The sequence below is a fragment of the Homo sapiens genome, chromosome 3, assembly GCF_000001405.40.
Source record: "Homo sapiens chromosome 3, GRCh38.p14 Primary Assembly".
Classification (NCBI taxonomy): Eukaryota; Metazoa; Chordata; class Mammalia; order Primates; family Hominidae; genus Homo; species Homo sapiens.
Window position 1 is genome coordinate 113190599 of NC_000003.12, and position 26632 is coordinate 113217230.

The 26632-nt window shown below is 42.3% G+C and overlaps 2 protein-coding genes across 43 annotated transcripts in view, besides 1 other annotated feature; one reads left to right on the forward strand and one right to left on the reverse strand.

Annotated features, from left to right (window-relative positions):
• Positions 1 to 16798: 16798 nt before the first annotated feature.
• Positions 16799 to 25032, reverse strand: LOC124909486 (uncharacterized). Its single transcript, XM_047449436.1, has 2 exons — positions 24934 to 25032; positions 16799 to 21682 (listed from the first exon to the last, which is right to left on the reverse strand). The coding sequence occupies exons 1-2, from the start codon at positions 25030 to 25032 to the stop codon at positions 20957 to 20959; spliced, it is 825 nt and encodes a 274-aa protein (XP_047305392.1). The 3' UTR covers positions 16799 to 20956.
• The window catches only part of BOC (BOC cell adhesion associated, oncogene regulated), a 76534-nt gene continuing 70229 nt past the window's right edge, over positions 20328 to 26632 (forward strand). For 12 of the 42 annotated variants that reach the window (XM_047449173.1, XM_017007446.2, XM_047449177.1 and 9 more), the window contains exon 1: positions 25587 to 25680. Coding sequence is in view for 4 of the 42 variants with exons in the window: in XM_047449188.1 (XP_047305144.1) it covers positions 25614 to 25680 (67 nt within the window). In the remaining 38 variants the exon portion in view is untranslated. Of the gene's footprint in view, positions 20560 to 20958; positions 21419 to 21517; positions 22096 to 25586; positions 25823 to 26632 lie in introns of those variants that run through there. The other 30 variants (NM_001378073.1, NM_001387925.1, XM_047449184.1 and 27 more) reach the window with 14 other exon arrangements.
• Positions 21320 to 21971: an enhancer, noted in NCBI's record as "H3K4me1 hESC enhancer chr3:112930765-112931416 (GRCh37/hg19 assembly coordinates)". NCBI's record gives its function as "activates a minimal SCP1, AML or CMV promoter by ChIP-STARR-seq in naive H9 embryonic stem cells {active_cell/tissue: H9 hESC(naive)}" and the evidence as "EXISTENCE:reporter gene assay evidence [ECO:0000049][PMID:30033119]".

Consider the following 26632-nt stretch of genomic DNA (forward strand, 5'->3'; position numbering starts at 1 on the left):
TAGAATCACTAATAAATTTTTAGGAGGGAAGGCATAGATGTGTGTGCTCAATCAATCATTTTAAACTAGAGGTTTAATCTTAACATCATTACTCTCTAAAGCCTCAAACGTTATTTTACCACTACCTACAGCACATATCAGTTAGAGCTTAATCTCTCTCACATTCACCTATTCTTTTCCTTCCCACTTCCACTAACTGATTCTGACTCCCACCACATCTCACTGAGGTTATTACAAATAACTTCCTAACAAGTCAACTCTAGCTTGATATTTCTACCATCCTCCATAAAACATAAATGAAATGATGTCACTTTCCTACTCAAAAACCTGAATGCTTTCCAATGACTGCAAAATAAAAGTTAAAATTTGCCTGGCATTCGAAGTTCTCAATAATCTGTCCCTCAAAAGTCCTGTCTCTGTGTCATTTATCAGCTGCTTCTTCCTCCTAGAATGGCCCTGCCTCCCTTTTCCACGGCCTTAAAGCCATATTCTTTTTGAGTTGTAATGTTTTAATATGAGAGATATCTGCAAATTACATTATAATATATATATGTTCTCATCACCAAACAAGACATTTGTAAATATATTTGTTGGTAAATTATGCTTTTCTTTTGAAAAATTTTTAAAATTTTATGTTTTTGAATATTTATTTTTATTTCAATAGTTTTGGGAGAACAAGTGGTGTTTGGTTGCATGGAAAAATTCTTTAGTGGTGATTTCTGAGATTTTTGTGCACCCATCGCCTGAGCAGTGTATGTGTAGTCTTTTAACCCTCTCTCCCCTCCCACTTTTTCCCATGAGTCCCCAGAGACCATTATATCATTCTTTTACCTTTGTGCCTTCATAGCTTAGCTCCCGCTTATAAGTGAGAATATACAATGTTTGGTTTTTCATTCCGGAGTTACTTCACTTAGAATAGTGGTCTCCAATTCCATCCAGGTTGCTGTGAATACCATTATTTTGTTCCTTTTTATGACCGAGTAGTATTCTGTGATATATGTATATGCCACATTTTCTTTATCCACTCTTTGGTTGATGGGCATTTAGGCTGGTTCCATATTTTTGCAATTGCAAATTGTGCTACTATAAATATGTGTGTCCCAGTGTCTATTTCATATAATGGCTTATTTTCCTCCGGGTAGATATCCAGTAGTGGGATTGCTGGATCAAACAGTAGTTCTACTTTTAGTTCTTCAGGGAATCTCCATACTGTTTTTCATAGTGGTTGTACTAGTTTACATTCCCACCAGCAGTGTAAACATGTTCCCTTTTCTCCACATCCACACCAACATCTATTTTTTTATTTTTTAATTATAGTAAAGTCTTATTCTTTATTTAATTTATTCACAACATAGCTAAAGAGCTACTTCCTCCTGGAAGACTTATTTGATTTTTTGCATCCCCTTCTCATTCCTCTCCCAGTGTCCTTGAAATTCAGGCTCTCCCAAAACACCGGCTGAGCCTCTCTCAGAGCATCTGTTATAGAAAGTCATATGAGCTTCCTGAGGGTAGAGGCCTGCCGACTCACCATGTGTCTCCACAACTAAGCAGACTGGCTGGTACAAAATAGGAATTCAGGAATTATTTGTTCAAGAAAAATAACTGAATTTGCTTTTCTGTCTTTTTAAGAAGTAACCCCCTTCTAAGTTTGCCATGTGGACCTCTGCTCACTGCATTTAGTGCTTGGCACATGACAGCATTAGAAAATTATTTGGTGAATGAATGAATGTTATTGCTACCTTGATTTTTTCCAGGGAAACTTTAAAGCCCTGCATATTATCACCTTAGAATCAACCAGCTGAATCTGATAAACTGCTTTATGCTAAAGTACTAATGGGAAAGGGCTGAAATTCAGGCTCTCAGGAAGTGGTGAGCATTTGAACTAAGGCTGTTTAGAAACCTAACTTTTATTATCCCTGAAGACCCCAATGGACTAATGGGCCAGCCATTAGTCTGACTGGGGCCCCTGCCTACCTGGATAGTGGAGCGGGAGAAACCAAAAGTCATGAAGAGAAAGGGAAAGAAACAGAGACAGACAACATCAGTGGGGGCTATGTTTAAATGACAAGACTGCAGCCCCATGACACAAGGACAATGATCGCTGTCCAAACAGAAGTAGTGACTACACTTGGAGACTTTCAGGATGGCAAATGGGCCTACGGAATAGAGCAAGTCTAAAGGGAACAAACAGTAAAGTAAACATGAATTAATATTGGGAATCATCCTGATCTTCATACCTCCTCTCCAAAGGGGTAGCAATTATTATTTGTTTGGTTAATAGGTCAACTTGGGTACAAATTTGTGGTGTTTAGTAGATCAAATTCACTAGGTAACAAGCAAAATATTATTTCTTGTCCTATATACCCACAGACTCCATGGGTATGTAGGACAAGAAATCTTTTTTAATTGAATGTACTTGGAGGGAAACTGAACCCAAATGCACATGTATTATTGCCATGTTTATGCACACACGTGTCACATATCTGCACACATCCTTGGACATTGAGCCATTCACAGCACTAAAGGGATTTTTTTTTTCCTTTTTGCTCATCTTTCTCTTTGCAAGGCAGAAGTAGGTTACTCAGTCTTCTCTCCTAAGATGGCTTACAGCATTCCTTCAACGATTTAGGACATAAATCAAAGTTTGAGGCCACTCACAGTTTTAACCCAGGGTCTTTCAGGTAAACAGCTAGAGAATTTTGGCTATGAGGAAAATTTTCTTGCATGGGGTGCTGGGAGGCAAGGAGATTTTCTAGTTTCACTACTTTTCTCCGTTGGCTTTTCTAGGCATGATCCTGTTGTGGGGCCCGGGGGCCTGAAGCCAGGAGAGAGTTAGCAAATGTTTCCCGTCAGTGTTTCTGAGGATTCCTGACAGAGCCCATCAGAGTTGCCTTTTATCACCACTGCACGCTTTAGTGCGTCTGTCGTGGCTCGCAGACATTGTGTTCCCTGCTGGATTAATCCTGCCTGTATTCTTACGCAGGATGTGGGCCACAGGGAGGAAGGTGGGTGGGGAGGAGAAAAGGAGGGGAGAGAGACAGAGGGGGTAGGGACAGTCAGAAAATAAGGTGAGAAGAGAAAAAGAAACTTTGGAAGTATCAAGTGGCAGACCTAGGCAGAAAAAAAAATAACTAATTTGAAAAATTGGAGCAAAATAAATTTGCACAAATTAAAGATAAAAAAAATCTAAAATGGAAAGCAAAAAAGGGACCCAAAAAAGGGTAAATCCAAAGTCCCAGAATGTGAGAGGCATTCAACACCAGCACAGACAGACTCAAGCTCCAGGCTGGCACTGCCAGAGGAAGTTCATTCTATTTTTAGAAGTTTATAAAGCAAACTGACCACTCATTGGCCACATTATTGAAGCCCTTTTATGTGCAGACCCCATGCTATGACGCATTGGAGAAGTTCTCATGTGCTCAGTTCTGCCATAAGCTATTCTAAGGCCTAAAGAAGGATATTTAATACATCAGAATCTTGATTTTGCTATCAGTAAATCTGGTACCCAATTCAAATCTACTAGAAAAGCACTTTGGCATTCTCTTGATGAAAGATATTTTGGCAAGAAAAAGGACGACTAGCTTAGCATACAATGAATTCTAGTTAGGAAGGTGCATTTGCATCTCAGTGGCAAAAAGAGCTTCCCTGTCTAGATTGGCTGATACATCAGCTCTTCCAGTGCTGTGGTTCTGAAAGTCTAGCTTCTCATTAGAGAGAGTAGAGGCACAGATTCATAAGGTCTCTGTCACTCTGAGTGAGCATCTTGGGGACAAAGACAAAATCTAGTTCATGTCTATGTCCTCTCTGCATACCTGATACTTAGTAGGTGCTCAGTTAATTTTGTATTGAGAAGAATCAGGAACAGTACCAGCGAAGCCATAAATAAGAGCTGGGCCTTGAAGCCTTAATGGACTGCCTGCATTTGGTATACAGAAGTTATTCGATAAAGGAAGCTTAGCGAGTTTGTGGAGAGGAAAAGAAAAGGAAGGCAGAAGTACAGAGGAATAAAATGCATGCTGAATTTAAGGAACAGATAAGTGGTTAAGTGTGGCCAGGTCATTGTCTCCCAAGATTTGCTGGAGGAACTAGTTTTGACAAGCAGATTCCTGAGGTCTCTACACCCAGAATTTCTGATTCGTTAGCCCTGAAGTTCAGCAATGGCATCTACATTTTAAACAAGCACTACCAGTTTATTTTGTTGCAAACTATACATTAGGAAACACAAGCACAGAGATTGGAGGGCAGAGAAAGGGGGGTGAGTGGTATGAGTGTGTGGAAAAATGAGCCCAGGGTTGGTTGAGAAGAGTTTGGAGTCTGTCCAGGAAGGGAGCCCTCCAGGGTTTCTAAGCAGAGTAGAGACAGAGCCAGATCTGTGATGGAAATCAACCATTCTTTACTAAAGCTCAGGTCATTTTCTCCTTGCTTCTGCTCCATTAGATATCATTGCTTCAAGCGCCCTGAACAAATAACATTTCATGAAAGCCTCCAGGTTTTGTAGGATCCAGGGTTCCAGTTACCAGTGGAATGTGAAGTTCACAGGCCGCGTTCAGGCTTGCAGGGAGAGGATTAATTAGTTAAAAAGGCAGTTGCACACATAAGTGGGTGTCCACACCCCAGTCTGGCCTGGTGTTTTGGTGCACTCATTCAGCCATACAATACTCTCTTCAGTTCTAAGCGCCACCTCTTGAAACAAGTTAAAAAGCAAGTTCCAAGTGAGATGCCCAAGTGCTATGTTTTACACAGACTAATGATCAACAGCTTTCTGTTTTTATGGGCCTGGCAACCAGACTGGGCTCACACTGCTAAGGACATTATAGAAAAGAATTTCTGCTTCAAGCATCTGACTATGCAGCAAAGTGCTGGAAAAGATGTTTCAGATTTTTTAAAAAGTGGGTTTTTTTTCACTAAAATTATTTGTTTCTAAAAATTTATGCATTGTGGGGTTCTTTTTACATTTAAAAATGCCATATGTTTCATTGTATTGGGGCAGTGAAATTAAAATTCATACTTATAATGTGTTTTAGTCTTTAATAAACACTTTCTCATGTAATAACACCTTTGATTCTCAAAATAATCTTGTGAGCTGGTTGTTATCATTATCCTCATTTTACAGATGAGAAAACAAACTGTAAGCTTCATAACATGTTTAAAGCCACACAGTGAGAAATTATGGGGCAAAAGCCAGTCTCAGGTCTTCTGATCCCAAGATCCGTAATTGCTAAAGGAACTCTGGAAGTGAATGGGAATGAGGATATGTCAGATATCACCCTCACATCTTCACAGTATGCTATAGCTGGGCTCCACTGCTAGTGCCATCAACATTTTGTTCATTTCAAATATCCATGACAGCGAATGAGGTGGGTGGAGTAACTGGCATCATGTATGCACTGATGGTTGACTGTACAGTTAATGATGGTGAGACTGTCACTTGTTGGGGATGCTTGTCCAAATGCTTTGTAATTAAAGTATCTCTCAAAACCCTGAAAACAAGATTGCCTATAAGTAAAATATAGTTAGCTCTAACAGACAATAAGAGATATTCCAAGTCACCTTAGAGGTAGAATGTCTCTCAACCTTGTAAGATGTGCATATCTTAATATGTCTAAGAAAATGTGGTAGAATTCACGTGAGCTCTGCATAGGGAAGAACATCCCGACAACTTGATCCTTGCAGATCCAGTGACATAGACACCTTCGCCATAATAATAGATGCCATTCAATAGTCAGACCAAAAATACTAACCCTTCTGGGTTATTTCCAAGCTTATAGAGGCAACTCTGGAACTGGACCTCTCTATTTAGGATGTCTGTGAGGCCTCTGACATACAGGCCACCAGACTGTCCAGGCGACTCCCAAGCTGGCCAAGCACTCACTTCTTTTGAAACATCCTGAGCAAATCCTGCGTGTGATGTTCATAGCTCTGGGTTGGGCCTTAACATGTGTGCAGGTCAGCACTAGCCCATGGCTGCTTGAATGGTCCTCCAGTTTTTAAATGAGTGAATTCAAATGAGCAATGGTGACTTTTCTGCTTGGGTTTTCTGTACTTTTTTTTTTTTTTTTTTTTTTTTTTTTTTACATTTTCCACCTCTCTGTTATGTTGAGCTTTTCTGACCTCTGTTCTTATAGTGCATTTTATCCTCTCTCAGAAAATGTCATACATGCCTTTGCCCTTCTTCTTTCTTCCCCTTTTTAACAGCATGGTCCCCATTTATTTTTTTGACTTTGTATTCTAAGTAATTTTAGACAGAAAAGATGCAAATATAGTACAGTGAGTTCCCATATGCCCTTCACCCAGTTTCCCTATTGTTATTATCTTTAACAACCAAATCCAATAATCAAAACTAAGAAATTGTTATCATTACAATACTATTAACTAAACTATGGACTTTCTTTGGATTTTACCAGCTTTTTTATTAACATACTTCTTCTGTTCTAGGATTCAATCCAGGATCCCAGTCATCATATCTCCCTGGTCTTCTCAATCTATGAGAAGTTTCTTTTCTTGACCTTGACACTTCTGAAGAGTATTGGTCAGTTATTTTGCAGAATGTCACTCAATTCTAGTATAGCTATGTTTTCCACTTTGAGGCAAGAATACCACAGAAATGATAAGCCCTTCTCAGTGCATCTTACTAACAGCACCTAAAGTCAATATGTCTTTGGTTTTTTGTTGTTGTTGTTATTGTTATTGTTTCTTTTTTTGTTTTCAGAGACAGGATCTCACTCTGTTGCCCAGTCTGGAGTGCAACAACATGATCGTGGCTCCCTGTAACCTTGAACTCCTGAGCTCAAGCAGTCCTCCTGCTTCAGCTTCCCAAATAGCTGGGACTACAGGTGCATGCCACCAAGCCTGGCTAATATGTCTTATTACTAGTGATGTTAACATTGGTCATGCGGTTAAGGTGGTATCTTTTGGGTTTCTTTGTCATAAAGATAATTCTTTTTTCAGCTTTGTGATTAATAAATATCTTGGGGGTGATCTTTTGAGACTACTAATTTTAGCATTAATCAATGGATCTTGAAAAATTACTGCTGTAGTATTCTAATAAATATTTTCTACTTCCCTAACTCCTTCTACATTTATTATTTGAAAGTCTCCTTTAAGGAAGAGTTGCCATTCTATTTTATTTATTTATCCAATTATTTATTTACATCAGTATGGATTCCTGAATATTTATTGTGTTCTATGGGTTATAATCCAATACAGTTGCTACTTATTTTACTGTTGTTCTTTGGCTACAGCTGGGCTCCTTTACCCTTTCAATAGCTGCCCCCATCATTTTTTGAGTACTTCCTTACTTTTTCGGCATCACGAAATACTCCTGGCTCATTTTTCCTGCCCCAGCCCTGGAATCAAACACTTTTCCAAGTATCCTTATTTCTTTTTTCACTGGAGAATAGTATGTAGAAACCAAGATTTGAGTGCTGGGTGTGCTCACTGCTACTGGGGTGTCATTGTTTTTAACTCCTCTCCATAGACAGAACTAGGAAATATATGTATGAATACTAGGATTGTACTAGGTACATACATAAGTCTGTATTTTTTGTATATATATTTTTAAAACCATGAATTCATACCGATATCTCTGACTCCAATATGACACCAGAATTCATTCTAGCCTTTTCCCTTTCCCTATTTGTAACTTTTTTCTCGGATAGTGAGAAATTTGGCTTTCATTATTGATGATGTATTTAATTATTAGTTCAACTGTAGTATACACACAAAGTAGTTTCAGAATTGCTAATCAATACTCCTGTGAGACATAAGTTTACTAACTAGAGTATAGTAGTTGTTTAGCCTCACAGTATCCAGTCAAAATACTGTTTTCCGAAGTAACTTAGTTTTTTTTCTTCTCCGCTCCCTAAATTACAGTTATGTTAATAATTTGTAATACAGTTGGATTTAATTGTTACAGTTTGAATTCCATTTTGAGTCCCCTCCCCCTATTCTGATTGTTATTAAAAATTTACATACAGTAAAATTTTCTCTTGGAGGAGTATAGTTCTATGGGTTTTGACAAATGTATGTTATACAATTTTAAGTTGTTTTTCTATGTCCATAAAACTGGAACTTTTTCTTGTAGATCTTTAGCCACTTCCACTTATTTTTCAAAGTGCCTGTGGTAATCTTTTGAACTGGTTATTTGTGAGGAAGCAAAGTTCTGCGTCTCTGCGTTTCACATGAACAGGAGGAGCTGAGCTATGTCTGTATAAAGCCACCACTCAAATTTGGTCAAATCATTACTTTCTATCACCTAAGCAACTGTGTCTGCATAATCAATTACATTGGCTGTGCCGCCAATCTATATCGACTCTTAAGACATCAACTAACTGGTGAGGGAGGATGTGTGAAATCTCAAGGGCTAGGAAAAAAAGAAGTGTTACAGGTGGCAGCTGGTCGGTTCTTCCTCCCTTTCTCTCTCTTTTCTGCAGCAAACATCTACCTATTGCCTACCATATTCCAGAAGTTTTTCAAGGCATTAGAATTACAATGATTATTAAGACCCAGGCCCTCCCCATGGGTTTCACAGCAGGTCAGGAAAATTGAAGATACACCACATGGAAACAGCATCCCCCCAACTGAGAAACGTGATAGCCTGAAATAATTATAGATCAGTGCAGAGAGTGCTTTGATAAGGGTAAACACCAAGTGATAGGGGTCCTCGGGTAATAGTCATCCCTCATGCTGGGAAGGTCCAGTGGGCAAAGAAGTCAGAGGAACTAACTAGCTAAGTAAGAGCCCCACATACACAAAGGCCTACAGACTAAATATCCTGGAACATTCCTAAGAAGTTCTGTACAGTGAGGAAAGGAATGGAGTCAGGTAGGGAAATGGTTGGAGACCACACTGGGGCAGTACTTACCAGAGATCAGTATGAAAGGGTTAGTGTACTTTGCTAAGGAGTTTGATTTCATTCTAAAAGTGGTCAATGATATCAATGAATAATTTTAGGGGTAAGTATATGACATGATCAAAGTTGCCATTTCTAAAGATGTCTCCATTAGGAATGTGCAAATGGACCAGTGAGGGAGGCAGAGGGGAGGCAGGGAGATTAATCAAGAGGCTTTTGTAATATTCCATGTAAGAAATGATGAAGGTCTGGACTAGGACAATTGCAGAAGAGACTGAGCTCAGGTAATGGATTCTGGAGAGATCTAGGATGTGGCACTATAGGAGGTAGTGATGACAATTACCTGTGAAGAATGAAGAGAAAGAAGGTGTCAAGAATGATTCCCAAGTTTCTCTCTCAGACAGCTAGATAATCCTGTTGTTACTCAGGCTGTTTAAGACTATTTTGTTTTTAAACATCAGACATGGTGAGATAAGCACATTGTTTTTCTTCTAAATAAGTAGGGCTTTGCTAATATTACACAAATTCATTGAGGAGGGGTCAAATATAAGAAAGTTTCACTGTTCATTCCCATCATTCCTAGGCCACACTGGAGAAGAAAGGAGAGGATCCCAGTCCCAAGGAGTGTAGAGGATTACAATTTCAGATAGCTTTGAGTTTGGTGTGTCCAGCAGGGTCATGAGTTGTGCAGCCAATGCAGTTGCACAGAGCCTTGCACTCAGAAGGGTCCTGCACTCAATTTTAATTTCTGGGGATACCATTGTGAAATTTTTAATGAACTTATCTTTGAATTTATATTTTGAAAGTGAAATTCTATGAGATAATAGAGCATTCACTGGGGGTTTGGAGCCTCAGCTCATGTGTGGTCCTGCCTGCCCCTGCCTGCCCCTGCCTCTCTCCTCCCTGGGACAGGTTCTCAACCTCTCACTCCCTTGCCCCCTGGTGCCCTAGCCTCCTCTGATCTCTCCCTTCCCACCCCCACTCCATGACCTCAGTCACCCTCTGCCACTTGGCAGGGTCCTGGGTGTAACCATGAGGAGGTTCAGGATAAGGCATGTACCCCATTCTCCTCAAAAAAAGGGCAAGGCAGTGGTTGCTCCCACCCTAAGCTGTCAGCTCTCAGGCATGTTCAGCCAGTGACTTGGCAGGGACCTCTAGTCCACCCCTTAGCATGTCTCAGTCTGGAGGTTACAATCCCTTGGGGGTCACCTCTCCTCTGTGGGTTATGAGAAATGGAGATTGACTTCTCTACTCCTTCTGGGACCCTGCATTTTTATTTTACACCCTGTGAATCATGTAAGCAACTCTTGGTGTTGGCTGATGACAAAAAAAAGGGTGGATGGAATTATTCTAACTCATATGTATCTTTCAGGAAATGAGATCCTTTCTTGTCCCATCAAAAGAGGAATAAGACATTCTACAGTGAGGTCAAAGAGGGTGTAAAGCAGAGACCAGGTCAGGGATGAATTCTATTGCTATAAGCTTTCTGGGAGAGACTCAAGTCCTTCTTTTATGGGGTCAAGTGAGCATGATCCAGATTCTTATCGACTGTGGCCATTCTGGGGATGGTCTGCACCTATACAATAAGTTACAAATCATTTTTTTATTGCAGTAAAAAATGTATCATTAAATTTGTCAACTTAACCATTTTTAAGTGTATGGTTCAGTGTGTTAAATATATTCACATTATTATGCAATAGATCTCTAGAACATTTTTATCTTGCAACACTGAAACCCTAATCCCCCTAAAAACTACTTCTCCCTATACCCTATCCCCAGTCCTTGATAACCACCTTTCTACTTTCTGTCTCTTTGATTCTGACTACTTTAGATGCTTCATATGAGTGGGACCATATAGTATTTGTCCTTTTGTGACTGGTTCATTTTGTCAGCATAATGTCCTTCCGATTAACCCATGTTGTAGCATGTGAAAGGATTTCCTTCTTTTTTAAGGCTGCATAATATTCCATTTTTGCATGGTTATATCACATCTTCTTTATCCACTCATCTGTCTATGGACATCTGGGTTGCTTCTACCTCTTGGTTATTGTGAATAGTGCTGCAGTTAGTGCTACAGTGAACATGGGAGTACAGCTATCTAGTCAAGATCCTGATTTTAATTCTTTTTCAAGATCCTGATTTCAATTCTTTTGGATATATACCCAGAAATGGGATTGCTGGATCATACAGTAGTTCTATTTTTAATATTTTGAGGAACCTCCATACTGTTTTCCTTAATGGCTGCACCACTTTGAATTCCCATCAACAGTGTGCAAGGGTTCCAATTTCTCTACATCCTCATCAACACTTAATTTGGGTTCTTTTTTTTTTTTTTTTGAGAGTTGCCAACTTGTAATATTGCATTGTGGCTTTGATTTGCATTTCCCTAATTATTAGTGATGTTGATCATCTTTTCATATGCTTATTGACTGTTTACATATCTTCTTTGGGTAAATGCCTACTCAAATCTTTTGTCCACTTTTAAATCAGGTTATTTGGTTTTTTGTTGTTGAGTTAAAGTTTCTTAGATATTCTGGATATTAATCCCTTATCAGATATATGACTTGCAATTATTTTCTACCAATCTGTAGGCTGCTTTTCATTCTGTCAATTGTTTCCTTTGTTGTGCAGAAGTTTTTAAATTTGATGTAGTCCCCTTTACCTATTTTTAAATTTTATTCCCTATCTTCTCAATGTCATAATCAAGAAATTGTTGCTAAATCTAATGTCCTGTAGCTTTTCTTCTATGTTTTCTTCTAGGAGCTTAATAGTTTTAGGTCTTAGTTTCAGGTCTTTAATAACTTTGAGTTAATTTTTTGTAATGGTGTAAGGTAAGTGTCCAACTTCATTCTTTTACATGTGGACATCCAATTTTCCCATCACCATTTGATGAAGAGACTGTCCTTTCCCCATAGTGTAGTCTTGGCACCCTTGTTGAAAATCATTCAGCCACATATAAGATGGTTTGTTTTTAGGCTATCTATTCTACTGCATTGGTCTATATATGTATCTTTATGATAATACAGCATCGCCTTAACTGCTATTGCTTTGTAATGTGTTTTGAAGGCCGGGAATGTGAGCCTTCTGACTTTGTTCTTTTTCAAGATTCTTTTGGCTAGTCAGGGTTTCTCGAGATTCCATATGACTTTTAAGATGGTTCTATTTCTGTAAAAAAAAAAATGCCATTGGGATTTTGAAAGAGGTTGTATTGAATCCATAGACTGCTTTAGGTCCACAAATTAGTTTGAAAACATAAAACCACTCACAAATAGGTGTGCATGTAAAACTGGCAAAATATGAATATGGCTGATGAGTTTATCAATGTCATTTGTTTAAGATATTGTACTATAGTTAGGTTAGCTATTGTGCTATTGTCGGGGGAACTGGATGAAAGGCATAGAGACTCTCTCTGTATTGTTTCTTACAACTCGTGACTCTATAATTATCTCAAATAAAAACTAAAAAACAAAGTCAGTCATACGCTATCATTTCAAACATACCATTAGCATCTAAATGCAAAATACTGTGTACAGACAGCTTTATAGCTAAGACAAACCAGGCTTCACCTGCTTTAGGCAAGGGCCCGGTATTTAGTTGTAAACCTGTGGTTCCACCCCAGGCCCCGTATTAGTTATTGGTATTCCTTCAACATTACAGACCATGTAGATCCATTAGGCTTTAATATATATCCGTGCTACAATAGGGATACTTGATTTTGTTAATTCTTCATCCACTTGATATATTTATATATTGGGCATCCACCATGTGCCAGGCATCATGCCAAACCTGAGAATACAAAGATGAAACAGATTGCCTTTGTAGTTGAGGATATTCCAGCAAGAAGACAGACAGATCCACAATTATAATTACAATGCTCATGGTAGATGCCAGGCAAAGGCAAAAAAGGGTTTCATTAGAGGGCAATCCGAGTTAGGAAGGGAAGGTTTGAGTAAGTCTTCCTAGAAGAGATGATGTTAGAGAAAATTCTTAAAGGGTAAGTAGGAGTTTAATGAGTGGAAAAGAGGAGAAAGGAAATAAGTCAGAAGGAAATAAAGTGGGCAGGCTGGAAAGCATGATAAATTGTGGTGCTTTGAGGAAGGGCAAGGAGATACTGGAGCACAAGATACAGTTTAGTGGGGCCCTGAGGAGCCAGCCTGGGGAGTTGAGCTGGACCAGACCATGGAGCAGGGAGCACTTGTGCCTTATATCAAAGGAAGTGGGGAGCCATCAAAGAAAGGCAAGGACATGAATGATCCCATCTTCATCTCTCCTGAATAAACAAGGACAAGGCCTATAGATATTGCTTTTTAAATAATTAGGAATCAGTGAACTGTGAGATTAACTTTCTTAGTCGTTCCTTATCTCAGGCACAGTTTCACATGCAAGGTATTGGGACCACCAAGCCTCTAACAATTCCATTTTCTAGTTGATGAATTCAACAAATAAAAGGCAAAGAATATACAGCTGTTTTCTGATTCTCAATGAGAGAGGTGGCAGGGAGGCTTCTACAACACCACCAGCCCCAGAATCTATATTCTTGTCAATTCCTCTCCCTTCCTCATGGCTCTGCCTGCAGGTCCACAGAGAGCTTCCAACCACTGTCCAGGGAGGCCGGTCAACCTTCCCTCCATGACCAGAACTGCAGAGCAGCTTGGGCCTCCCTGTTAAATTCTGCTTGTGAGTGGAGGACTTGAAGAAGTGGGGTAAGGTGGAGTAGGGTCAGGCATAGTTAGGTTTCCTGATGCTGTGGCCAAAAGTCTCAGAGAATCGCAGGTATCTTATGAAGGAGAAAGAAAATAACACATGTAGAACAAAACAAGATGGCATAATACCTGCCTCAAAGCTTGCAGTGGCAGCTTTGGCATTAGATTCTGCCCAGCTCAGTCCCCAGAATATGGATTCCCCTCCATGGAAGCATCTCATTGCTAAAAACCCTTACAAGATGTGTGAGAAACTTCTTCCCCCTTAAATGGCTGACTGAACAAATTTAACGGAGGCTGTTATCCACTGAGTTTAGTATCAAAGCTCTGAGATCCAGTTCTCTTTGAGTTTTTGCTTTCATCTGGAATCTTGCGCCCCTGCCCTCTTTGCTGCCGTCACTGCACAATGTCAAACAGCTGGAGTCTGGGCAGCACCAGAATCCAACTGTCTCAGCCTAACAAGTGAAGGGATGGGGGAAGAACAGATGGCGGGAGATGAGGAAGGTGGGGGTGTCATGGAGGACGAAAGGGGGCTGTGCTTGCTTTAGAGAATCTGATATCTTGGAAAAGTGGTCTCACGTGGAATTCAGTGTCAATAGATTCTATTTGTCTAGGGCTTTGCAAAATCAAGCACACAGAAGTGGCCTTGGACTATTCTATTTTTCATTTCTCTAACCCAGCTTCACCTCTCACTCAAACTTTTACTAATTTTCCCTCCATTTATTGAGTGCCTACCAAGGGTTTATATATACATATATACACATATATATATGTGTATGTGTATATATATGTGTATACATATATATGTGTATATATAGAGAGAGAAATAGTACATATATATTATTTCCAATATTCACAGAAACTAGGGTTTAGGGATGTAATTAATTTGTCTAAGCTCATGCAGCTTATTTAAGACTGGATTCAAACCCAGGTTTGTCTTGATGCCACAATATTCTTTTTTTAAAAATCTCATCCTCGGCCAAGCACAATGGCTCACGCCTGTAGTCCTAGCACTTTCGGAGGACGAGGCAGGTGGACCAGTTGAGCCCAGGAGTTCGAGACCAGCCAGGCCAACTTGGAGAAACACTGTCTCTACTAAAAATACAAAAAATTAGCCGGCCTGGTAGCAGGCACCTGTAGTCCCAGCTACTCCAGAGGCTGAGGCAGGAGAATGGCGTGAACCGGGAGGCGGAGCTTGCAGTGAGCCGAGATCACACAACTGCACTCCAGCCTGGGTGACAGAGCAAGACACTGTCAAAAAAAAAAAAAAAATCAACTGGGCATGGTGGTGTGCGCCTGTAATCCCAGCTACTCAGGTGGCTGAGGCAGAGGTTGCAGTGAGCCAAGATCACACCACTGCACTCCAGCCTGGAAGACAGAGTGAGACCCTGTCTCTAAATAAATAAATAAAATATCATTCTCCCCCTGGGGTACACTTGTCCATAGGGAGCCTTGTGGGGATCTGGTGATTAATTCCTAAAAGTCAACGGAACATATAGCCAGTAGGAATGCCTGAGTTGACAGCCTGGGGCTAGAGAAGTCAGTCCCAGCCAGTTCAACTTGTATAAGGAATAGATGGCATCATACCAGGCTCACCTGTAGTTCTGCCTGAACCATGCAATTTAGGGTTTAATTATACGCTGTCTTGCATTGTTTCTACTAATTGTTGCATAGGTCAATCTTATACTTTCATTCATCATTCTTCCTTCAGTCAACAAATATTTTAGAGCAACTGGGCATATTTCTTCTCCAGCAGCCCTTGCAATACCCAGCATAGAACGGTAAGCCAACTCAGATAACTAGTTAATGGTCCAGTCAAGAGCAAATGAGGGCTAATTTTCCTAATTATAAATTAATGGATTATGTTATGCATCTTGAAATTGTACTGAGATATTGCCTTAATAAATAGACACTTTATACACTCAACAGCTTGAATTTTAAAGCAGAAAGTTGGGTTCATGAATATCTCATTTCCAGTATCATTTATCAAGATAAAATGTCTTTATCCAAATATAAGCTTTTGAGAATAGTTATGTGTACAAAAGCCAATTTACTAATATTGTTAAAACTGTGAATTTTGGTATCTCGTTTATTTGTTTTTTTTTTGTTTTTGAGATGGAGTCTCGCTCTATTGCCCAGGCTGGAGTGCAGTGGCACGATCTCAACCCACTGCAACCTCCCGCCTCCCGGGTTCAAGCGACTCTTCTGCCTCAGCCTCCTGAGTAGCAGGGATTATAGGCATGCGCCACCACGCCTGGCTAATTTTTGCATTTTTAGTAGAGATGGGGTTTCACCATGTTGGTCAGGCTGGTCTCAAAACTCCTGACCTCGTGATCCGCCCCCCTCAGCCTCCCAAAGTGCTGGGGTTACAGGCGTGAGTCACCGCACCTGGCCGGTATGTCATTTTTAATCTTAACCCATACATCAGAACTCCATTCTCTTCCTGTATATAATATCCTTAGACTCTTACATTAGTTACAATTAGTAAGTTACCTTAGTTCTTGGAATGCACTTGAATGTCTCTTTCGAAAAAAGAAAAACACTCCTTGGAAAGCCCATAAAATACTTCTTAATGGCTAGACAAAATTTGGGCATTTTCTAAACAGTTTTTTTTTACTGCAAGAAGTAGCCTGCAATTCATGAAATAGTTGTGAAGTAGTGTGTTTCACTGGAAAAATCTTGGGTTTGGAATTCTTACCACCATTTAGTTGTTGGGGATCTCAGGCATGTTATTTAATTTTCCTTATCTATAAAATGGAGATAATTGCACCTATATAGCACAAGGTCATTATGGGGATTCAAGATGGAAGGTACACACAGAATCCAGGAGAGAAACTGGGAGAGGAAGGTGCTCAATAAACATTAGCTTATTTCTCAGAGGCTTGTTGAAAAGGTTAAATAAAATCATAAATATGATGCAGTTCATAGGGTAAGCAATTAGTGCCCAGCTCTTCCCATTGGAGTGTTGTTTCCACTAAAGTGAATATTTGGCAGTTGTTTTCTTTATTGTTCAGTGTAATCATTCAGACTAGATAATTCAATCAAGTCTTCACTTGGGACCTTGTGTTTGATGATCTCATTGTTGTTTTTAATTAAAATAATCTGAGAGATGGAAATGTACATTGGAACCACTGGAGGACAATTTTGTAATACCAACTAAAAGCATTTAAAATGTTATATCCTATCCATTGATCCCAAACTCCTACTTACATGAATTTACCCTTAGGAAATAATCAGAACAAAAAGATTTATAGCTAGATGTTTAGTCAACTGCAATACAGGATGATAATAAAAATGGAAACGATCTAAATATGTAACAATAGAAGAATGGTTGAATAAATAACAATCTCTCTCTTTGATGGGATAGTACACAGCAGTTAAGTCAAATTTTGAAGATTACATATGGGGAAAATAATCATTAAAATGTTAAATTTAAAAGCATGATAACCTGTATGTACAATGAACCCAAATTTGTAAAATATGAAAGTACCAGATAAATCAATGAAGAAGCTGGCTCCTGCCTGAATTACCAGATGCATTAAAAATTGTATAAAATATTGAATAAACTCACCCCAATTATGTTTCCCTTTAAATGTCTTTCAATTCTGATTCAATTAGAATCATATACTCAGTGTCGATAACGTGTTTATTTGTATTGATGAGAAACAAAAACAAGAAAGAAAAATGACTAGAAAAAACACTCCACTATGTTAATAACAATGTTATCCCTGGGTAGTAACTTTAAGTTGATTTTCTTCTTTTATGTGTTTTTCTACATTTTCTAAATTTTTGTCAGTGCACATATTTTATAATCAGGAAAGCAGATTTATATTAAAACAGAGGAAAACATCATCAAGTCCTTCTTTCTTGTCTACATCTTAATAATTTTCTCAGCATAATCCTCTCCAGATATCTTTCACAGTCAAAGAGATCCCTGTTTATATGATACAGGTAGAGTATCTACAGCACACTGAGAGGAAACCACGTCTTTTCATGTCATTCACTGAATTCCTTCCAGTTTATTCTGCACAGCCTAGCAACATAGTGACTTATATAGACCTACAATCCCTACTCACCTCCCCACTCCTTCCCCCGACCAAGCATTTAAATTAATGTGATGATCACTTCCATACCAAATGCTTCCTTCTTGGTGGAGGCCCATAACATTTCCAAGAAAGCAAGGTGCTAGAGGTAAATCACCATCAACAGAACGGACAGTAGCAAAAAGCACCTTACAAGATCCAGACTCCACCTAACTGTTTTGAAATGGCTAGAGATGCTGGAATGGGTTGGGGTGGGTTAAGATAGAGAAACTAATTGAAAGGGGAGGAGGGAATTAGGCAAGAAATACCCTCCAGGCAAAATGGAGTGGGGAGAAAATTCAGATACGTTGTTCTTACAGGACTAGTAGTAATAAACACAATCACATTAATACAAAGAGCAATAAAAACAATAAACATATCTGAGGTACCAACAGTGTGCTTGATGCCGCCAGCAGAATTAAGTCCTCTTTATTAAGCTGTGATCTGCATTCTGCCTAAACTATAAGAAAGGTGAGCAGCAGGCCGGGAGCAGTGGCTCATGCCTGTAACCCCAGCACTTTGGGAGGCTGAGGCGGGCTGATCACCTGAGGTCAGGAGTTCGAGACCAGCCTGTCCAACATGGTGAAACCCCGTCTCTACTTAAAAAAAAAAAATTAGCCTGGCGTGGTGGCAGGCACCTGTAATCCCAGCTACACGGGAGGCTGAGGCAGGGAGAATCGCTTGAATCGGGGAGGTGGAGGTTGCAGTGAGCTGAGATCATGCCACCGCACTCCAGCCTGGGTGAGAGAGCCAGACTCCATCTTAAAAAAAAAAGGAAAGAAAGAAAGGTGAGCAGCCTGCATGCATGAAGGAACAAGGCAGTGTGTCATTCTCCTGACTAAATGGTGCTGGTAGGGACTGTTACATTCTTTGTGTTCTGTTGTGTTCTGATGCTTAACTCAGAGCCTAGGGCTGTGTGGACCCAAAGACCAGAGTAAGAGAATGGAGAGTCCTAGGAGAAAGATGACAGAAGGGGTAGAAGATATCTTTGAGATGTCAAGCAACGAATAGTATATACAGGAATATAAAAGAATGAATCTGAGACCTTCATGCATCACGTTCTCATTGAGCGGTACTTGGAATCATCTTTGAAAAACAGAAGGCTGGATACGCTGCTTGGGTCCCTGGGGAGAAGGAGTGTTATCACTGCAGAGGAAGCTGGTTGACCCATTCCCTTGGGGGAATTAAAAGTTCTGTACCCAGGGTGGACCCCAGGCCTTGTAGTCCAGAATTGTGCCTTGGAAGGAGGACAAAAGAAAGTGGAAGCTAATATAGTCAATGACTGGAAAGAAAAATAGGTCTTTGAGAATGTTGGGGGAGATTGTTAGAGATTAAAAGGGAAGGAAAATTAGGATGATTAAGTAGGAAAAGGAAATGTAGGTGGATAATGCACAGAGAGAGTTCAGAGTCCTTTTCACCTTCTTGCTGAAAATGCATCATCCTCCAGATCCATTTTGCCAGAGGAACATGCCTAAGAATCCAGGCACAGAGCTGAAAGTACTCGATAAATCAAAAAGGAAATTGGCTTCTGCCTGAATGACTAAATACCGGAGAAAAAATAGTGCAAAATATGGAATAAAATACATTTATGTTTCCTTTGTAAAGGTCTTTTGGTTCAGATTCAATTAGAGTCCTATACTCAGTGTAAAGTATGTATGTTTACTGACAAGAAACAAGTTAATAAAAAACAAAACAGGGCCGGGTGAGGTGGCTCACGCCTGTAATTTTAGCACTTTGGGAGGCCAAGGTGGGCAGATCACTTGAGGCTAGGTGTTCAAGACCAGCCTGGACAACATGGTGAAACTCCGTCTCTACTAAAAATACAAAAATTAGCCGCGCATGGTGGCAGGTGCTTGTAATCCCAGCTGCTTGGGAGGCTGACACTGGAGAATCTCTCGAATTCAGGAGGCAGACTTTGCAGTGAGCCGAGATTGCACCACTACACTCTAGCCTGGGCGACAGAGTGAGACTCTGTCAAAAAACAAACAAACAAACAAACACACACACACACACACACACACACACACACACACACACACACACACACAAAACCCCCAGAGGCCCAGAAAAGTTAAGTGACTTTCCAAAGTCACAGTGGCTTCCTGACTCCCAGTGCAGCTGTCCAGCCACACAGGGAAGGCAGCACCCCCATTCACCCTACTACTAGCCTGGCTGTCTTATTTCCAGGACAGCTTCCTCACCAGCTTGGCACAAACTCCCAGTTCACTTTAAACAAATGGCTTAGCCCTGCTGGGACTTGGTTTTCTCAGCTGCAATGAAGATACGGAATGGATGACCGCTCACAACCTGTGCTTCATTCCTAAAAAATAAGAAGGGAATCCAATTTGCCACCAACTCAACATTTGCCTTCTCACTGCCCTGGAAAGGTAGTTTTTAAAACGTGGCCCCTGACCTGCAGCATCAGCATCACCTGGGAACCTATTTGAAATGCAAATTCCCAGGTCCACCTACTGAATCAGAAACTCTGGAGGTGGGGCCCAGCAAAGGGATTTAGCAAGCCTTCCAGGGAGTCCTGCTGCAGATCAAGTTTGAGAACCACAGCTCTGAAAGTTTTCTGACCAACACACACGCGCGCGTGCGCGTACACATACACACGCATAGGTAACTAACTTTTCCGTGGCCACTAGCACCCCCAACCCATGCCCCCAACCCCAGCCCCAGCTCTCCCTCCCCATTCCTCCCTGGCTCCATCCTGGGATGATGAATGGAGGTCAGGGCGCTGTCAATGGACGACGCGGCAAACCCTCCCCAACCGACCGAGGGGGTCGGGGGAGGCTGCGTTAAGGCTTCCCTGAGATTGGTTTCCTTATCATTTTCTCCACCGCCGCTGTCCCATTTTCTGATGAGTTTGCTTTTAATGATTTATCCAACAGTTTGTCTTGCAGAAGAAGAAGACCATTGAGAGGTGGGTGTCAGGAAAGTCTTGGAAGAGACTAGGCGAAAGGAGGGAAGGATTGTACATGGAAGAGCAAGGGTGCGAGGTGAAGCTAAAGAGAAAGTGAAGGCTTCAGGGGAGCCCCCTGGGTTCGGGGAAAAGGGAGAAGATGGTGCTTTTGGTATGGGAAAGCAAAAGAAGTTGGAGGAGAGCGCGGGTCTGAGGCACAGCAAAAAGTGGGTGTTAACGGGAAAACTGCCCTAGAGTTTGGGGGACTTTTTCCAGCTTCCTTTCCAAGACTTTTTCTTTGCTCCATTTTGCTCCTCCCCCTCCTCCCAGCCTCCTCCACTCCCTCCTCCTCCTCCTCCTCGCACGGTAATGGGAGGCTCCTAGGCAGGAGAAGCAAAAGAAGGAATTGTTTGCGAGTTCAGTCATCCAAAAAGCTTCTTCCATATGGAGGGACCGGGTGCGCTGGGCGCGGCGTCCCCTGCGTTGTCCTCCTGCTGCCGCCCCCGCGGCCGCCGCTTTCTGCCGCGGGGACCCTGAGCCCCGGCCCGCCGGTGTCAGCCGCCGCGCGCGCGCACAGACACACACACAGAGACACACAAACACACACAGAAAAGACACACACGCGCACACACGGCGCGCACACCCTCACGCCCGCCACAGCCACAACACGCCCGCACGCGCCCTCCCTCTCCGGCCCGCAACTTCTCGGTCCTCGGCTCCTTTGTTGCTCCAGCCGCGGCCGCTCGCCCGTGTTGTGTGTCCCCGGTGTCACCGAGCGTGTTGTGTGTCCGTGCGGCGCGGCGCTGTGTGGCTCCCTCGCGCCCACCACGCTGGCCCCCGGGCCCCGGCTCGCCCTTCCCAGGCGCCGGCTGCAGCAGAGGTGAGTCACGTCGCTGAAGTTTGTTTTCTTTTCATAAAAAGTTGTGTTTACTGTTGGTTCGGGGAGAGGAGGGGGCGGGAGGCGGCCGCAGGCCGAGGCAGCGCCAGCGAGTGGCTGCCGGGGGACGTGCCGGCGGCGGGAGCCGGGTCCCAGCGCTCGGCCGGGCGCCCGGGGCTGGGAGCTGCGGCCGAGGCTGGGCGCGCCGGGCGCCGGGCGAAGAAGTTGGGGCGAGGCGGGCAGCGGGGGTCCCGGGGGCTGCAGCCGCTACGGGGCCCAGGGGCGCCGCATCTCGTTCCCTGCCGCAGCGGTCTGGCCGGGCGATGGTGGTTTCGCCTCAGCGGTTCCCAGAAGCTTCTCGGGTGGAAGAAGGATCCAGCCAGCCTCCCAAACTTCCACCGAAGGTTGACACCAGCGCCCCGGCCCCATGCTCCAGGCCGTGGGGGGAACCCGAGGCGTGGCGGCAAATGCGTAGAGTCACTCAACACGCACTCGGCCTCTTTGGAGGGTGAGGGTTTCTCATAGTTGGCGTCTTCTAAAGGAAAAACACTAAAATGAGGAACTCAGCGGACCGGGAGCGACGCAGCTTGAGGGAAGCATCCCTAGCTGTTGGCGCAGAGGGGCGAGGCTGAAGCCGAGTGGCCCGAGGTGTCTGAGGGGCTGGGGCAAAGGTGAAAGAGGTGTGTGTGTGTGTGAGAGAGAGAGTTCGTGTGTGCGTGTACGTGTGTGCGCGCGCGTGTGTGCGTGTTCGCGCCAGCAGCGTCCTCCTGGGGTTTTTGTTGATGTAACTGTGAGAAGGTGTGGGAAATGAATCTCTGGAACCAGTGGGACGGGGCTGTGGGGAGGGCAGGGAACCCAGGAAGAATTTTCATGGGGGTGTTGAAGGGCCTGCTTGACTTTCAGGATGTTCAGTATTAATTTGCTTTTCCAGGTGATGGGAGAATGCTGAGGGATGAGAGAGGCAGGCAGACCTGAAGGAGTTAATGGAGCCTCGGGGATTTGTTTGGCAGAGTTTTGTTTTGGGGATGGGGGTGGCAGTGCCAGAGTTGCTTGGAACAGAGTTGTGCTCCTCCAGAGATGTGGCAGTAGAGCTAAGAATACCGAAACCACACACCAGCAATCCCAAACTGGCACTTTTTGGGTGTGGTGGGGTGTTCTGCTGCTCCCCTCATCCCTTCTCTGCAAGTTCAAATGGGTTCGCCTAAGTTTTTGACCCAGAGTTACCTCTTTGAGTGGACTGAGTGAAGATTATATTTTGATTTCAGGCCCTTGTGCCACCTGCAGATGCACTGTGCCCAGCACACATTTGTCACCTAGTTCTTTGTTGTCCAGAACTCGGTACACATTGACCATTGGATGAATGTCATTTTAAAACTTCAGTGTGCAGACATTTCTGATTTATTCCACGACTGGGTCTTAAACAGGCAGCCCAGCTCTGTGATGGTTTTTTTCATCCCTTTGGTTACAGCCAATAAATCAATCTTCGTTTTCTTAAGGGCAGCATGGAAAATATTAAACCACAGTCTTGGGCTGCTTGTGGGGGCTAGGATGCCCATACATCTGGGTGACCTGTTTTCTGAACTTAAAGTAAATCTGAGGCAAGAGGTTAGCCATTTTGAGGTGTGTAACAGGTTTCCCAGAAACATTTCTGAGGTCTTATAATTGGTACTTTTTAATGGTCTCATAATTGAGACCCAGAAGCTTCTCGTGGTGATCTGAAAGCACCTTGGGGTCAGTGGGACAGAGGCCGGGCAGAAACAGCAGTAGAGTTATTATTTTCCTGCTATGAGTTTTTCAAATGAGTTTATGCAAAGAGGTAAAATGAAAGAAAGAAGAGTTGCCTCATTGGGCCACTTTGCTGACACTGTCCTCCCCTGTATAGATTTGTCACTCAGAATTTGGGCCTTGAGGAGGCTGGAGGGTGTCTACACATTTATGAAGCCTGAGGATTGAGACCTCAGACACTGTCTCTTTTATCCTCTATCGAGATACTTCAGAAATGCTTCACTGCAAGAGACATTCGCTAGGGAGCAGTTGTCCCCCACGCCATAGGCCACTGGCTTTACTTGGGAAAAGAGGTTGCTAGAAGCCAGAATGGTTGATTCTTTGACTACAACTGGAGAGGGAGGGTGTGGGGAAAAAATAGAGAGGACTCTGCTTAGCTGTTAATTGGTGAGCCAACTCTTGGTAAGCTGTGTGATTTATGTTCCTTTCCACCCTCCAAATGGGTCCAGAGATTTTCCCTTTTTTTGAAGTGCTTTTTCAAGTGTTTGGGATCCCGGCTCTCTTCAACAACATGGTTTCCATGCCCTAAGAATGAATAAGAGATTTTACCCATGAAATAATTCAGTTGACTTTCACATGGACCCCCCACGGTTTGAAAAAGGAGAGCAAGAAGTGAGCCTGATGTGTCATAGTGTTCCGTGTCCCCTAGGGGGTCTGGGTTCAAATTTCGGCAAAGCCACTGATGTGGGTAATGAATTAGGGTTTATCTCTGTGTCTTTCAAACTACAACAGAAAACTCAGGTGCACCAAATAATTGCTATCCAATACCTTGTGGCCTCTGAATAAGAAAATATTAACTTGGCACCAAAAGATATTATATATTTGGAAGTTGCTTTCTTTCCTCCAAACTCTAAGCCCTCTTGCTGTCTGGGAAAATATGGGACAGGAGAAAAGAATCGAAATTTGAGAGGGAGAGGAAAGAAAATAATATGTTCCATTTAGAAAAATCTATTTACTCTAACATATGTAACTTCTTGTCATCTCCATACTTCAATTCAGCAAACATTTTTAGTGCATCAGGCACCAGGCTGAAAGCTTCCTTGTCCCAGGAAAGTAAGCTTTATTAGTCAAATGATGGTTCCTCCTCAGTTTTTATTTATTGTACAAGCATCTACTTGTAATTAAGAAAATGTTTTTTAAATTATCCACAATCCTATGGACTTGTGTTGCTCATCATGTGCATGCATACTTTTGACATAGTTGTGATAAGAGTATGAACTTTTGTCATCAGACAGCCCTGAAGTGTCTCTACATTTTTGACTAAAGACTCAGAGAACAGATGTAGCCAACTACTTTGCTGTTGGTTGGAAAGACCCAAATCCTAAGTGTGCTCCCACATGGAGCCTTAACATGTAACATTTTCATAATTTATGAGGTTGACTCAAATATTTGGGGTTAGGGGGTGGGATGGGAGAGGGTGTTTGTTTTTAATCTATAAACCCGTGTTTATGAAAAGCTTGCCTAAAGAAGGTTTTGCTTCTTTGGAGCCCTCAGGGTTGGTAACGGATAGAGAAGAGGAGGTGGAATGCAGGAAGGAAGGTTTAGAGGATCCATCTCAAATGGCACTGCCTTTAGGAGGGTTAGGAAACTGGGGTTGGAATCTAAGCTCTGCCTGTGAACTCCATTCACACTGACTCAAACCACTGAACTAATCTATTCCTACATCTCTACTGCCACCCAGTTAGACACCTTCCCCAAGTTTGCCTGCTCTTTCCTGCCCTTCCTTTTATTACTCCACCATCTTTTTCATTCCTGCCACCACCAGACTTGTTGATGCCCTTGACAATTGTTGCTGGCACGTGGCTGGGCCCCCAGTGCCAACCTGTGACCATCCCACCCATTCTCCATGAGTCCTATAATCAAGTCACCACCCAGCTTTAAAACAACCTAGGTTTAAAACCCTAATTTCTTAAAGCTCTGCTGTGTAGCTCTGTCCTACCTCATGATAGTATTACTTCAGTAGGAGCCACCTTCTCCAATCTAGCAGCTGACCCTTGGTTTTTGCTGAGTTCATTCCTTGCCCTCTGTATTATCACCCCAAATCCCTTCCATGTAAGCCTGACTGATTTTATATGAGGCCTGTTTATAATGTGTTCTTAAGAAATAGTTGATGACTATTGATGAAAATGGACTGCTGAACATAAAGGTAATGGTTTTGTAAAGTACAATCATTGTTCTTAATCCGTTGTTCATTTCAGCAGGGAGCCAGGAAACTGGACATTTCGGGAGGCCTATGGTCTTAGAAAAATCGCTTTTCTACTGTTTTCTTATTTATAAAATGTATTGATAAGGACTTACTATGGTTTATATCAATGCACCTTGTAAAAAGCAAATACTTCAGAACTGTTTATTTTGTTCAAAAGATGAGATAATTCTCTTTTTCCTCAGTTTCAGAACAAGCTTCCTGGAACCCATGACCCATGAAGTCTTGTCGACATTTATACCGTCTGAGGGTAGCAGCTCGAAAGTAGAAGAAGTGGGTGAGGTTTTCTCTTCAGTCTGATAGCTCTGGCCTATTAGGTCAGCCATTTGTTCATGTTTTGTGTTACCACTTAGAGATAGTTTTTCTCATCCTCAAGTATTGGGAGTCCAACTTTGAGTGGAATCTGGACTAAACTTCAGGTTAGTTCTAGCTCGGTTCATATGCTCTTTTAGTCAAAGCCTGTGATGGCTATGTGAACCCCCTTGCTCTGTGGCAAGCTCTGTCAGACATGTTAGATACAAACCGTTTACTATGGGATTTGGAGTCCAAGCTTGCTGTGAAAAAGTCCCGCGTAGGTTTGGGTGAGGAAAGCCATGTGTTTATGTCTCTGTCAGTGGTATCACAGCAAATGCCTTGTGGTCTGATGTACTGGGCAATGTTTATCTCACAAAAATCAGCGGGATTGTGATTCTTCCCATCTTCTGAAATAAAGTTAGGAAATAATTTCTCTTTTCCTAATAGTGAATTTGGCCTTCTCTTCAAAGAAGGCCTTTGATGTTTGGGACAGGATTATTGGGCAGTAAGAGGAAATCAGAGCAGAAAGACACAGTTAACCTAATTCAGTTGCCAGAGAAAATGTTGAGGAAAGTCTCAACCCGTTCTGCTGGTTAGCAAAAGGAAAGTGCATAATATGGGTAGGGTGGGTAGGGTTGAAGAAAAATTACCCGAAGCTGAGCAGTGGAAAGTAGAGCAAAGAATGTTTATTCTTCTCCAAAGTGAGTTTGGACAGTATTGGACAAGATGAAGGTGGTGAAGTAGGTGGAGGTTGGCGCCTTCATCCTTTCAACAATGCTTGCTGTGTGCCTGGCATCAGGTGTGGGCTGGCAGGAATTAATACCAGAGCCCATGCGCCATCCAGAATCCTATTACTGGCCTGAAGGGAAACGCAGAGCACTGCCATGCAAACTCTAGGGTTGAAGTGCTTGGAATGGGTCCGTTAAGAAAGACTT